The following is a 14,940-nucleotide window of genomic DNA, read 5'->3' as shown; positions in this document are numbered from 1 at the left end:
ATATGCAAAGGGGCGGGGGGCTCCATGAATGCTGCTGGAAGTCAAGTACAGCCACCCTCCCTCTGCCTTGTACTGCCGCCTCATCAGCCTCCTTGTCCTCCCGTAAACATGCCAAGTCCACTTCCACCTCAGCCTTCGTGCTGACTGACACTCCTCCCCCTGGGGTGCATAGGCCCCAGGTATCTATGTGGTTCGCTCCCGCACTTCAAGTCTTTGCTCAAACACCACCCCCTTAGAGAAGACTTTCCTTGACCATCCTATCTCATGTAGCATGTCACTACTCTTACCCCATTACTTGCTTTATGTTATTTATTTTTTATCTATAGTTTCTCTGGAATGTGAACTCCAAGAGGACAAGAGCTTTGTCTTGCTCATTTAAATCCTAGTGCCTGAAATAACACTATAGCATAATATGTGCACCAACCTTTCCTGAAGGAGTGAGCTGATGGGTCCCTAGTATCCATGTGCAGGTGTGACTTTCAGCTCCACATGGATTACTCACTGTGTGCCACTGGGCAGAGCGTTTAACCTTTGTATGCCTTGGTTTCATCTACAAACTGATGGGTCGTGAGAAATAAATGAGTTAACAGATGCAAAAACTCACAACAACTGGCACTATAGTAAGCATAGTTCATTACTGCTGTTAAAAACATTGCTATACCGTTGCCCAGAATAAGACACGAAAAAACTTAAGCTATTTATATGATAGTTCTTGTAAAAGGCAGGGGCTGGGAACCCCTTTGTACTGGGTGTTGAAATATAACAGGACATCTTACTTCAGTAGCAAGGATGAATCCCATCATTTGTTTGGTTTACTTTCATATGTTACAAGCACCGGGACTACTGGTGTTGGTTGCTGGTCACAGAAGCAAAGACAAGTAGGCTTACATGATCTAAAATTCAACTGCCAGATGACTAAACACTGGTAGAAGTAGTCATAAAAGGAGAGCAGTTTTGAGCAGTGCTTGGAAAGTAGGGAAGGGGGTTACTTGCAGGAGAGGAAGGGTGATGTTCTAGGTGTCTGGGAAAGACTTTCTTCCCGTACTCACATCTACCCTACAAAGCATCTTAGGGTGTGGAACTGAGAAGGTGTAATGGGAACTCTCTTCCAGGCCGTAGCAACTTCGGAAGAGAAGGAACAATGAAGGTTTGGATCGTTTTCAACAAGCATGTAGAATCTATGTACTAAGAGATAGTAAAATCTAGGAAAACTTGAGTTCCTGAATGATCTGCTTCTCTAAGTTACGTGAGTTTTAGAGAAGACAACAGTGATGTTACCTACACCCTATAAAGTTACTGGACTCCCAATACCCCATATGCCCTTGAATCCCAGGAGCCACAATAACCCTCTGAAAGGAGTGGCCATGACGGAATTTCACAGTTGCCTGGTCCTGCAATAGAGACGCCCCCCTTCCTGGGTGTTCCTCTCGGTACCACTTTGCAAGTATTTTACTTTGATTATGGTGGGAGATGGTTCTGTTCCTGCCAGTGTTTTGTAATTATTAGGTTCCTAAAGGCTATACTGGCTCTCTTATTTTTACGACCCTTCTCCTAAAAAGCTAAAACATGCAGGAGTAGCTTCCTTGAGGCTAGGAAAAAGTATCCAACATTGGACTCAAAAAATACTTTGCTACACTAATCACAGATGTAGGTTCCAGAACAATGTCCTCTCCCACTCTTGGGTCATCTCCTTGGCTTTCTGGTATGATTGCCTCTTGCAACGAGTGGCACCTTTGGTTCCCCACCTTAGAGAATGTGACTGACTGCTAGTCCAAAGCCATCCATATTGTCCAGTGAGGCACCTGACGAGCTCCTTTGGCACCTCTCGAGCTCCTCAGCAGCACATGCAGCTAACCTATAACTCATGTGGCAGTGAAAGAGAGGAGGCTTGGGAGGGAAAGGAAAAGCATGAGAGCCAGCCCAAGTATATGCAGGGCTCACAGAAGAAAAGGACTTAGGCTTGTTCTGATGGACCTTAAGCGGTGGAAGCGATCAGAGATGGGTGACCATCAAGCAAAGGTGGTGTTGGGGGATGGAGACACGGAATGGGTAATTGGAGCAAACCTGGAAGTCCCTCCCAACCCTGAGGTTGTGTGATGTTTGTGGAGCCGTAAGGAGATGTCCTGTGCCGCCTGGAGGGGAGCTGCCTGCCCAGCTGCCCAGTGCACGCAACTCCTCCCCTCTGGGGCACCGTTCTCCCCTCTCGCTCCTCTTGGCACCTGCCCCTCCGAAGACTTCCGGGAGCCTTAAATTAAATCCAAATGGTTCAGTTTGGCCTGTGAGATCTGCCTCTCTGATTTCATCTCCTCTTCCAGGTTCCTGTGCAAGCTGTGCCCTCTGCCTTGAGTGCTTTTCCTAGCCAGGCAAGGCTGCTCCTCCTCCCTGTCTTGCGTCAGAGGCCTGCCTTGATGACCCAGTTTGGTGTAGTCACTTGATCACATCACCCTCTTCATTTTCCAAACAGAACTTCTCATTCAGAAGTATTTTTACTTATTGGTTTATCTATTAATTGTCTCTATCCCTTCGCTAGCTCATAAGCTCCATGAGAGCTTGACACATGGCATGCACTCACCTATGTTTGCTTATTAAATACATACACACATACATAAAGCTAAGAAAGGAAGGGGTTGCTGGAAACAGTCACTTTAACAAACTTTATTATTTTGCCTAAACTCAGCCTTTGGAAAGGAAAGGAATGTCCTTTGTAACCACAAGGAGTCCCTTCATGTGTGGAGACTCAACATGCCTACTGCATAGAAATTGGTATTTTTAAGAAGCCACCAGATGGTGCTAGTGACACGCTTTTTACTCACCAGTGTTCCTGTTGATTGGAAAGATTCACTGAGCTTCCTGGTAAGATAGATATGGGATGGAATAGGTGACTCGGTGTGATTCTTCCTCATCTCTTGATCCCACTTTTACAAAGGTAGTTTTAAGGGCAGTGACCAGGCAGCAAATGCTGGACGCTGATCAGGATAGCTGATACGCTGCTTTTTTTTTTTTTTTTTTTTTTTTTTTTTTTTTGGAAGTTGCCCTGAAAAAAAGAAGGGTAAGATGAACAGGTTGGATAAAAATCAGAAGAACTCAAGCGGTGGTTTGCTTTCATTATGGGAGTCCATGATTTCTAAGGATGATTTCATGCTTTTAAATTCTCAAGTGTTGTTTATTGCCATTTTTAGAAAATGGTAGGAAGCATCTAGACCCTGGCTTTTTAGTTTCAGATGCTAAGTCCAGGCAGGGCTTCAGAGCCCCAGCAGAGTTTCCAAACCTGGAGGCTTCCGCGTCCCACACAGAGCTTTTCAAAAATACAGACTCCCAGGCTTGCGCCACCAAACCGTCGTCTCTTCGTGGGCCCTGGAACCTGTATTGCCAACAGAATTTCCCAGGTGATTCCATTTCATCTGCACATTAGGAGCCACTGTTCCTGGGGAAGATTGATCCCTCCAGTCTCCCTTCTAGGACCTGCCACTTCTGCTCACTGGTTCTGGGCTTGAACGTGGCCCCAGTCAGAATCATCCAAGTTTCACTTCATGGAACTTCAGTGTTAATGGGAATCTCTCCAACCCCACCCCTCCCCGAGAAGGTGGCATGATCTCATAGGTTTACAAAATAAGGGATTAAACTGGTTTGCTTTGAACTGCATCATTTCTTAGATATCCACACGACACCATAGTACTTTCTCAGAGGAAGTATACAGCAGGGATCCCATAGTACTTTCTCAGAGGAAGTATACAGCAGGGATCAAGGAACACTTTATTCACAGAGCAACTCTTCAGAACAATTTCAGGGGGCAGGCACAGTGGCTCACACCTATAATCCCCACACATTGAGAGGCCGAGGTGGGTGGATCACCTGAGGTCTGGAGTTCGAGACCAGCCTGACCAACATGGGAAACCCTGTCTCTACTAAAAATATAAAAATTAGCCATGCATGATGGAGGGTGCCTGTAATCCCAGCTACTCAGGAGGCAGAGGCAGGAGAATTGCTTGAACCTGGGAGGAGGAGGTTGCAGTGAGCCAAGATAGTGCCATTGCACTCCAGCCTGTGTGACAAGAGCGAAACTCCATCTAAAAAACAAAACAAACAAAAAACAAAACATTTCAGGATACATCATTTAGTTAAAAATAACCTGGACTAAGTGTCAGAAATTTTTGGTTTTAGTCATAGCTTCTTTATTAAGAACTATGTGACTCTTCTATTTATACCTGCTGGATTCCACATGGAATTGAGGAAGCTGACCATGTGACCTTGGTAAGTTACTTCTTTTCAAAGCCTCTACCGCTCTATCTGTAAAATGGGGATAGAAACTGTGTCATGACTCCCACAGGGCTGTTGAGGGACGCATCAAGTAACCTACGAGAAAATGCTCTGAGAAGAGTGAAATACCGCACAGTGGAAGGTAAGGCCATGGCCAGTGGGATGTGAGAATTAGTCCAAAGTGCCATAGAATTGAAGATTTTCACACCATCACAGCTGCCATCTGTAGCACAGCTTTTCTGTAATGAAAATAATGCAAGTAATTAGTTTTAAAAGTCAAATCGAATCACAAGGCTTATGATAAAACAGCAGTTCCCATTTCTCACTTTCTATTGCTCAGAGACAAACTTTTCAAACTCTTTTGGATGTTTCTTCTGGTATTTACCACCCTATGTCTAGACAATATGCTAGTTCTAGATTTTTCCGTGTTAGACGATCTGTACCGACTTCCTAATAAGGAGGAAGAGGATAACACTCTTCACTAATGCAGGCCACTGCCCTCCGCAGCCCGCCAACACACACAGGCTTCCCCATCCCCATTTTCCTATGCTAGTTAGTCCAGAACCCTTTAATCAATAGTATTTGTTGTGTGCCAGTTCCTCCATCCTCAGCCTCTGCTGTGGAAGTGTACATTTCCGCCCAATATCGGGGATCTGTTTCTTCGTGTTCTTTTTCTTAGAGGCAGGTAAGAGAGCTCTCTCCTGGAGTGCTTGCTGATGCTTCACCCTCCTGCCAAATCTAGAGTAGCTCTTCTCTGGGCCTGAGTCACAGCTGGTATAACTGTGGGGTTCCCTTTTCCTCTCTGGAGAGGAATCCCTGGTTTCCTGGATCCCATTTTCCTCTGTCTTATGCCATTCTCTCTTTATAGTGGGAAAAGGTGCAAGGGAAGTAATTTTTGTAACCTTTCATGTCTGAACATACCTTTTTACCCCGCTGGTCTTATATTCTTTGATGGTTTGGCTTAATACAGAATCCTAGTCTGAAAATCATTTTCCCGCATAATTTTGATGATACTCCTTTTTGTCTTCTGCAGCAAATCTAGCTGTGGAGAAGTCTGATGCCATTCTGTTTCTTGATCCTCACATGTGAACTATTTTCCCTTTGGAAACTCTTAAATCTCTTTTTTCCTGGTGTTTCTGTGTTTTAATGATGATGTTTCTTTGCGTGGGTCTTTTTGCACTAATAGTGCTGGGCAGTGGCCCCTTCAATCGGTCTCCAGTTTGGGGATTTACAGAATTCTTTCCTTGGTATTTTCTTCTCAGCCTTCTGAACATCAGCTTAATTGGATGCTGGAACCTCGTGGGCCACTGAACCTATATTGATCCTCAATTTCTCTTATCCTTTCTTTCCTTTTGTCCATGTCTGACATTTTGTTTTACTTTCTGGGATATTTACTCATTTATGAAACAACCCTGATGTGGAATTTGTTTACATCTTCTATATTTTTAATTTCCAAGAATTCGTTCTTGATCTTGGGATGCTCTTTTCTATATTCTTGTTTTGTTTGATGGATCCAGGCAGCACCTTCCTCTCTGAGATATGAGAGGGAATTATTACTATTATTTTGTACCCTGCATTTTTTCCCCTTAATTTCCTTTGCATCTGTTTTTGTTCCTCTTCCGTATGTCAGAAACTTTCCTCATGTCTGACAATCAGTGGCTACCAATTCAAATTTGAATTATATGCCCATGTGCATGCACACGCGCACACACACACACGCACACACATGCACACACATGCACACGCATGCACACACGCACATGCACACACATACACTCGCACCCACGCATGCACCACACACGCACATGCATGCACAGATGCACACGTACACCTGCACGCGCACCCACACACACTGTCGCACCCATGCATGCACCACACACGCACATGCATGCACAGATGCACACACACCTCACACACAAGCACGCACACATGCTCATGCACACACAAGCACACACACACACGCACACACACACACAGCTGACTGGAAGGTGTGTTGAGCAGGCAAGCCTGGTTAGCTAGTGAAGCGCCGTGGTAGGGAGAATAATGGCCCCCAAAGATGTCTATGTTCTAATGCTCAGAACCTATGAATAGGTTATGTGGCAGAGAGAGGAATCAAGGCTGCAAATCAGTTCATTTTAAAATAGGAAGATTATTCATGGGCCCAATGTAATCACAAGGGTTCCTAAAAGTGGAAGAGGGAGGCAGAAAAAGACAGAGAAGGAGATGTGAACTGGGATCCAGGTCAAAGTGTTGAAGGACTCCACTTGCTGTTGCTGGCTTTGAAGATGTGGAAAGACTGCCATGAGCCCAGGAATGTGGGCTGCCTCTAGAAAGTGGGAAAGGCAAGAAAATAAATTCTCCCCTAGACAGTACAGAAAGGAACACAGCCAGCAGACAACCTGATTTTAGCCCAGTGAGACTCATGTTATACTTACGAAGTTTAGAATCGCAAAACAATAAACATGTGTTTTTAAAACCACTAGGTTTGTTACAGCAGCTATGAAAAACTAATACATTTGCAGGTTAGGGACCCACAAGTATTACAGCTAAGGAGGGAGGGAGGGTCAAAGCAGCCAGGAAAAGGTGCTTGAGACCTCAGCTAGGGAGAAGAGCAAGAACTCCCTGGACTTCAGCAGATTTCATGGCTAGGTCCACCGTGTCTGCTGTGTCTGTCTGCAGAGTTCCACTGCCTTCTCAACAGCCCAAAGGGCATTCCCTTGGAGAAGAATTTGGGGGTTCAGATTCTAATCCTGAACGTACTTCTTTCTCCAGTAATTTTTTCAGGGTTTACCTCAGGCCTCAGGCTCTGCAGAAAAATAACAAGAAACCTTTAGAATCCACATGCATTCTGTCTCTTGGTCTGTTTCTATGAGTTTGGGTGGAGATTGATCCACCTGATTGAGGCCTCAGCAGAACATCATCCGATTTCCCTGTGCTTCTTAAGGGTTTGGATTAGGGAACAGAGTTTGCCGGCTTTTTCATCTTGAATCACTTATGGGTGGATATAAATGACTATATGTATTTCTAACATTTTGTCTTTTTAAAATTAATTTTTAAATTAAAAAACCAAATAACTAGAAGCAATTTGCATAGTTGTTAAACTATAAAGCATAAGTAACTGAATACTACGAAGTTATGACTCAATTTAAAACAAGCACATTAGCTAAAACAATTGAAGTTCTTTGTGTGTTTTTCCAACAGCTCATCTTTCTAACCCCTCCCACAACCCAGTATTTATCCTTTTTTTTCCAGTTTCACTCTTTTTTATAAAAACTTTTGTATTGTAGAATATAATATGTTGAGAAAGTGCCAAGTAAGGCTTATTCCAAAGTGAGTACGCATGTGGCCATCATCCAGATCAACAGAAACATTCTCGCACCCAGAAAACCCTTTGCATTGCCCTTTCCATTTCCTTCGCTAATTTAATTTAACATACTCTCTTCTGTATTTTACATTGTTTTATCTTTCCATGTTTTCTTCTGGGTATTTTTCATCAGTCTATAAGTTCAGTGAGTTGCCTGTTACTCATTTTTTCAGTGCTTGTCTTGTCTCTTAATTTCAAGGAGTGCTTTGCCTAAGAATATGTAAGGAAAGATAGGCATCTTTTGTTCATTTCATGTGTTGTGTAAGTATCTTCTCCCAGTCTGTGGCTGATCTTTTCACTCTCTTAGTGATGTCTTTCAAGGAATAAAGTCTTAACTTTAAAATATTTAGATTTATCCAATTTTTCCTTTATAGCTGGTCTATCTTTGAACTTCCACTTCGGATCATTTCCTTCTGCATGGATAACATCTTTTAGAATGTCCTTTAGTATGGGTCTGCTATTAATGAATTCTTTTAGTTTCTGTTTATTTGAAAATGTTTCTATTTTATTTTTATTTTATTTTATTTTATTTTATTTCTTGGAGACAGGGTCTCACTCTGTGGCCCAGGCTGGAGTGCAGTGGCACAATCTCGGCTCACTGCAACTTCCTCCACCTGGGTTCAAGCGATTCTCCTGCCTCAACCTAGCTAGTACTACAGATGTGCACCACCATGTCCGGCCAACCTTTGTATGTTTAGTAGAGATGGGGTTTCACCATGTTGGTGAGGCTGGTCTTGAATTCCTGACCTCAGGTGATCTGCCTCCCTCGGCTTCCCAAAGTGCTGGGATTACAGGTGCGAACCACTGTGCCTGGCCAAAAGTGTTTCTATTTTGAATTCATTCTTGAAGGTCATTTTCATCAGGTACAGGCTGGCTCTTATTTTCTTTCTATTGTCTTCTAACTTCTGTTGTTTCTGTTGAGAAGTCAGATTTAAGTCTAATTGTTACTCTTTGGAAGGTAATTGTTTTTTGTTTGTTTTTTTACTCCCTCAAGCTGCATTTAAGATTTTCTCTTTGTCTCTGTTTTTTGTTATTTAGCATTTTTACTATAATGTGTATAGATATGGAGGTGATACATATATGTATGAATTTAAATATATATATATTTTAAATGTTTTTGGCTTAGAGTTGTAGAACTTCTTAAATACGTGGCTTAATATTTTTCAGCATTTTTGTAAAGTTCTCAGCCATTCTCTTTAGATTTTGTCTCTGCTTCATTTTCATTCTCCTTTCCTGGAATTCCAAGTATAGGTATGTTGGATTCTCTTACTATATCCTCTCTATCTCTTACTCTTGTTAAAAGGAAGAACTTTTGATATATTTCACAGAGTTTAACTGAGCAAAGAATGATTTGCTTAGTTGTGAATTGGGCAGCCCTCAGAACGTGAGGAGGTTCAGGGAGCTCACTCTGCAATGTCAGCAGGGAATCTTTATAGACAGAAAATCCCAAGTGAGTTACAGTAACAGTTTGATTGCTGATGGCTTGGCACTTGCTTTATTTGAACGCGGCCTGATCACTTGGCTGCCTGTGACTGGCTGAAGGTTGGCTGCTGTTATTGGCTGACACCCAGCTGTTTGTTATGAAATACTCCTAAGTTAGTTGCAAGTTTGTTTACATACTAAGTTAGGTTGCAATTTTTTTATGTAGGGACTTAAGAAAGGAGTCAGCCTCAGCCCAAATTTAATTTAATTTAACATTCTGTCTCCTGTATTTTGTCTCTCCATGCTTCATTCTGGGTGTTTTTCATCACTCTATAAGTTCTATAACTATTTTTAGATTTATTGATTTATTGATTCATTTTAGACGGAGTCTTGCTTTGTTGCCAGGCGGGAGTGCAATGGCACAATCTCTGCTCACTGTAACCTCCGCCTCCTGGGTTCAAGCGATTCTCCTGCCTCAGCCTCCTGAGTAGCTGGGCGTGTGCCACCACGCCCAGCTAACTTTTGTATCTTTAGTAGAGACGGGGTTTCACCGTGTTGGCCAGGATGGTCTCGATCTCTTGACCTCGTGATCCACCCACCTCAGCTTCCCAAAGTGCTGGGATTACAGGCGTGAGCCACTGCACCCGGCCACATCCATTGAGTTTTAAAAGTATAATCAGTTTTTCAGTTCTGAAATATTCTTTTTTTACATATATAGTTCCAGTTCTCTGCCAAAATTCTCAATACTGTCTTTTGTCATCTTAAACATGTATACGTGGATGTTTATTTTTATTTTTGTTTTTTTGAGACAGAGTTTTGTTCTTGTTGCCCACACTGGAGTGCAATGGCATGGTCTCGGCTCTCTGTAACCTCTGCCTCTCAGGTTCAAGCGATTCTCCTGTCTCAGCTTCCCGAGTAGCTGGGATTACAGGTGCCTGCCACCACGGCCAGCTACTTTTTTTGCATTTTTAGTAGAGATGGGGTTTCTCCATGTTGGCCAGGCTGGTCTGGAACTCCTGAACTCAGATGATCCGCCTGCCTTGGCCTCCCAAAGTGCTGAGATTACAGGCGTGAGCCACCGCACCCAGCCACATAGATGTTTTAAAGTCCATGTCCAATAGCTCCTATTTTTTGAGTCCTTGTAAGCCTGTTTGTATTGCCTGTTTTCTCTTAGCTCATTTCCTTTTCTTATTGTGTGCCTGTTATTCCTCATTGTGTGCTGAACATTATTTTTGAAACATTGTTTATTAAAGCAATTTGAGGGCTAGGGTAATATCACCTTCCTCCAGAGAGGATTTCAGCTTGCTTCTGCCATGCATCTCAGGATGCATAACACTGGGAGTTACGCATAGGATGACTCCAAGCTATCCTTGGAAATACCCTCTTCCAATTTCAGAGGTACAGGATAACTCTTGGAGTTACCCTCCTCCAATTTCAGAGATTGAGATAGCTTAAGGCTGAACTGCAGTTGCCTTGAAAGGAGTCTTCTTCTGTTCAGTTTGCTCCTAGGGTGCAGCTTTTCCATGATCTCAACCCAAAAGGAAGAGGGTTCATCAGGCCACCAGCCACACACAGGCTCACCCTACACCAGGGGCCTCTGCACTCCAAGGCAGGTGCACTCAGCCCCGCAGGCAACCACCCGCCTTTCATCCAGCTCCTCTAGAATCCACACAGGCCTCGGGTGGAAAAGTGGTCCTGGCTGCTGGCTCTTCTCCCTGGGCCTCTGGTCTCACTCCTAGATCTTTCCCTACTAATTCATCATTATCTTGTTACCACACTAATGAGCTAATAATGCCTTCAAGAGCAATTTTTAGAAGACCTTATCTACCTCTTTAATTTCTTCTCAGATGGAAGGTTGTTCTAAATTGCTGAATTCTGCACGATCAGGAGCAGAAGTTCTCTTGGGACTTTCAGCAAAAGGGCTCTGACCACTAGCATTTATTCTTTAACACTTAATACCAGGTCGTTGTCCAGGAGGCAGGCGTTGCAGCTGAGAATACCCTTGATGGGGGTGGGGGTATTCAGTGTGCTGCGAAGAGATTCTGAAGAAACTTTGGGTCATGGTCAAACTTCAGTTACAGCCCTTTGGTTCAGAGATCGGCTCAGGAAAAAAAACTTGTTGTTTTCTTTATACATTTTTAAAAGGCTCTTAATACTATGGATTCTATAGGGTTCTTTCAACTGGAATTGTGTCTATGTGGATACATTTCTCTTCAAGTTATAAAAATGTAGTTAAATATCTTCTAAAAGAGAAATAAATGCCCCAAAACATATTTTAGATTTAGATTTCCCAACTTGGAAAATAGCTAAAAATATTTTTGTGAACTGAAAGCTGCTCTCCTGAGCTCCCCTGCATAACGTGACTCAGCCATGAAAATGCATCACTGGGCTTTCTCTGGCTTTCTGTGCCAGGGCTCCAAATATTGGGAGTGTGCACTTCTTAACCTCAGAGAATGTATAATCTAGCTAAAAGCAGACACGTGAAACCATCTAAGGTGATAAATATGCATAAGATGGTGTAGTGAAATGTACATATTTTATAGCATCCAAGTCTTCTAATAGCAAGAAAGAACACTTATGAATTATTCTGCTTCACTGATTGCTTATTTATCATAAATGCTACAGTCAGTGCATTATTGGAGTTGTTGACTACCTTTGGCTTCCTCTGAGAAATTTTAATGTACATGTACAATCCAAAGAGTTGTATTTATTAATAACCACTAGGACCTATAAATGTGGTATAAAATAACAGGCAAGAGAGTAGGCCCAGGAGCCAGACTGGCTGGGTGTGAATCCAGGGCTGGCTACTTACTAGTGTGGTGAGCTTGGTTAAGTCATTTGACCTCACTAGCCCTCTGTTTGCTGTTCTGTAAAGTAAGGATAAAAACACCTATCCCGTGACATGTTTTGCAGAACAGCTGGGTTCGTGTACATTATGCATTGAGAATAAGGTCTGGCACATGGCGGAGCACTCCATATAAATTCTTATTCTTCTTAGGCAGGCATCCCCAACCCCTGGGCCACAGACCGGTATGGGTCTGTGGGCTGTTAGGAACTGGGCTGCAGGAAGTGAGTGGTGGGTGAGCCAGTGAAGCTTCATCTGTATTTACAGCCACTCCCCGTCGCTCACCTTACTGCCTGAGCACCACCTCCTGTCAGATCAGGGGCGGCATTCGATTCTCATAAGAGCGCGCATGAATTCTATCGTGAACTCCACATGCGAGGGATCTAGGCTGCATGCTTTTTATGAGAATCTAATGCCTGATGATCTGTCACTGTCTCCCATCACCCCCAGATGGAACTGTCTAGTTGCAGAAAAACAAGCTCAGGGCTCCCACTGATTCTACATTAGTGAGTTGTGTAATTATTTCATGATATATTAGAATGTAACAATAATAGAAATAAAGTACACAATAAATGTAATGCACTTGAGTCATCCTGAAACCATCCCCCTCCTCAGTCCATGGAAAAATTGTCTTCCATGAAACCGGTCCCTGCTGCCAAAAAGGTTGAGGACCGCTGTTCTTAAGGTGCAATTATGGTTAAACATTTACCAGGGGGAATTGAAGCATAAACAGAAGTATACTTTGTGAATTATTACCAACAACATCCACATAAAGTGGGAAAGAGGAAAATCCATTTTATTCCCAGCCAAGAGACATTTAAAGCACATACCCTCCCTGCCCCTACTCAAATGGGAGGTGTAGAAAGCACCCTCCTCTTTGTCCTTCCAGAATATCTTTTTGATGTGTCTTATACTCACATCTGAAAAGGTCAGCTGGTGACATTTCTTTCTGGAGGCAATTTTACTGAAAGCATTTTCACTTTCTCAGTGTGCAGGGACTGGAGGCTCAATGAAGAGGATACAGCTATGTCCACATCATGTCAACTCTCACTGATTGTAGAGCTGTTCTCCCACCCAACTCAGTCCTCTCTCCCTCTACCCCTAACAGGAACATTTAACTCTGGTTATTGACTACATCTCATTGTGATTACTGAGCAAATTTATTAAATAGCCTGGGATAATACTTTTTTTTTAGATGGATTATTGCTCTGTCGCCCAGGCTGGAGTGCAGTGGTACAATCTCGGCTCACTGCAACCTTCACCTCCTGGGTTCAAGTGATTCTCCGGACTCAGCCTTCTGAGTAACTGGGAATAAAGGTGTGCACCACCATGCCTGGCTATTTTTTTTTTTGTATTTTTAGTAGACACACAGTTTCGCCAGGTTGGCCAGGCTGATCTTGAACTCCTGACCTCAAGTGATCCACCTACCTTGGCCTCCCAAAGTGCTGGGATTACAGGTGTGAGCCACCGTGCCCGGCCCTGGGACAATACTTGAATGGGGCTCCAGGGACTGATTACTATCCATCAAAACATTCTGTCCTATTGAAATATAAATTTATCTGAAGCAGACACATGAAAACATGCTTTCCCATATAAGCCCCCATGCACTGGGCAACTTCCCTTCTGCCTAGCCCTTTAATGTTGGTGTTCTTGAAGCTTTGGCCTCAGTGCCTTTTCTTTGCTCTCACATTCTTCCTGAGAAATTGCATCTACTTTAAAGATTTCCTTTCCCACCTATTTGGATCTTTTGCTTGGAACTTTCTCCTAAGCTCCAGGTCCATGGATCCTACTTCCTGCTGGACTGCTCCCATCTGGAGATCCCACAGGCCCCTCAACTCAGCCCCTGTTTCTGAATCCCCTAATTATCCTCTATTTACTTGGTCACTCAAGCCAGAGACTTGCCCTGGCCTCCTTGTCTCGCTGTACCCCGCCTGATGATTGAGCTCAGCTCATCAAGGTCTGTCACCTGCAGCACTACAGCAATCGCTTGTCTGGCCTCCAGTTTTTAAAATCCGTCCCACAAAACATGACCAAAGTGGCCAATCTGATGACACCATCCCTTGGCTTAGATTCTTCAGTTAACATCCTGATCAGTGACGTAGGCACAAGAATCTCCTAGAATGGAAGTTCCTGGGCCCCACCCACAAAGATTCTGATCCAGCAGACCCGGAATGCGGTTCAAGAACCAACACATTTAACACTCAGACTGCTCTGGGGCAGGTGGGCTGTGGGCATGTTCTAAGACGCACAGCACTGCAGGATGTTCCAGCGCCTCGATGTGGCCCGGACACTCACCGTCTTCTGGCATGCAAACACCTCTCTAACCTCATCCATGTCTAACCCCTTCATGTCCTAAAGTCCAGCAGGCAGGGTCAAGGACTAGGGTGACATTAGGCCAGGCCTGGGAATGCCTGGATCTTGGCCTGCTGTTCACTCATTGTTGCTTTGAGGGTCTAATTGGAGGAGCTCTGTCCCCAAGCTCTAATAGGCAAAAGTAAGAAAAGTAACCCATTGTTAGTAGCTCAGACTAAGCCCAATACCCTTGAATTCATGGTTCTCTTATAAAAACTGAAATGCTGAATATGGCTTAGCAGAGGATAATTGGCAGGAAGCAAGACTTTCCCGCTGTGTCAAGAGATGGGAATAGGCCAAGTCTACAAAGCTGACCTGAATCCATTTGTCCAATTGGTGAGCCTGTCTGGCCTATCCCCAGGGGCCAGACCCTGCCCTCGCCCCAAGCAGTAGATGCAAGAGCAGAGAAGGATGGTCAAGTCTATCTAAGGAGACAGGCTGTATAGAAGTGTTCTGATTGCATGGGAGCAAATTTTAAGAGAAGTACCATGCATGGATAACAATGTTCAAGCCACAGTAACCGCACACTGGTAAACTGTGGTTAAACTTGGTGCAAAAGTAATTGTGGTTTTTGTCATTATTTTCAAATGGGTCTTAAAAAGGAGTGTTGGGGGCCAGGTGCGGTAGCTCATGCCTGTAATCCCAGCTCTTTGGGATGCTGAGGTGGGCAGATCACTTGAGGTCAGGAGTTCGAGACCAG

The sequence above is a fragment of the Homo sapiens genome, chromosome 11, assembly GCF_000001405.40.
Source record: "Homo sapiens chromosome 11, GRCh38.p14 Primary Assembly".
NCBI lineage: Eukaryota > Metazoa > Chordata > Mammalia > Primates > Hominidae > Homo > Homo sapiens.
Note: the sequence above shows the minus strand (reverse complement) of the source record.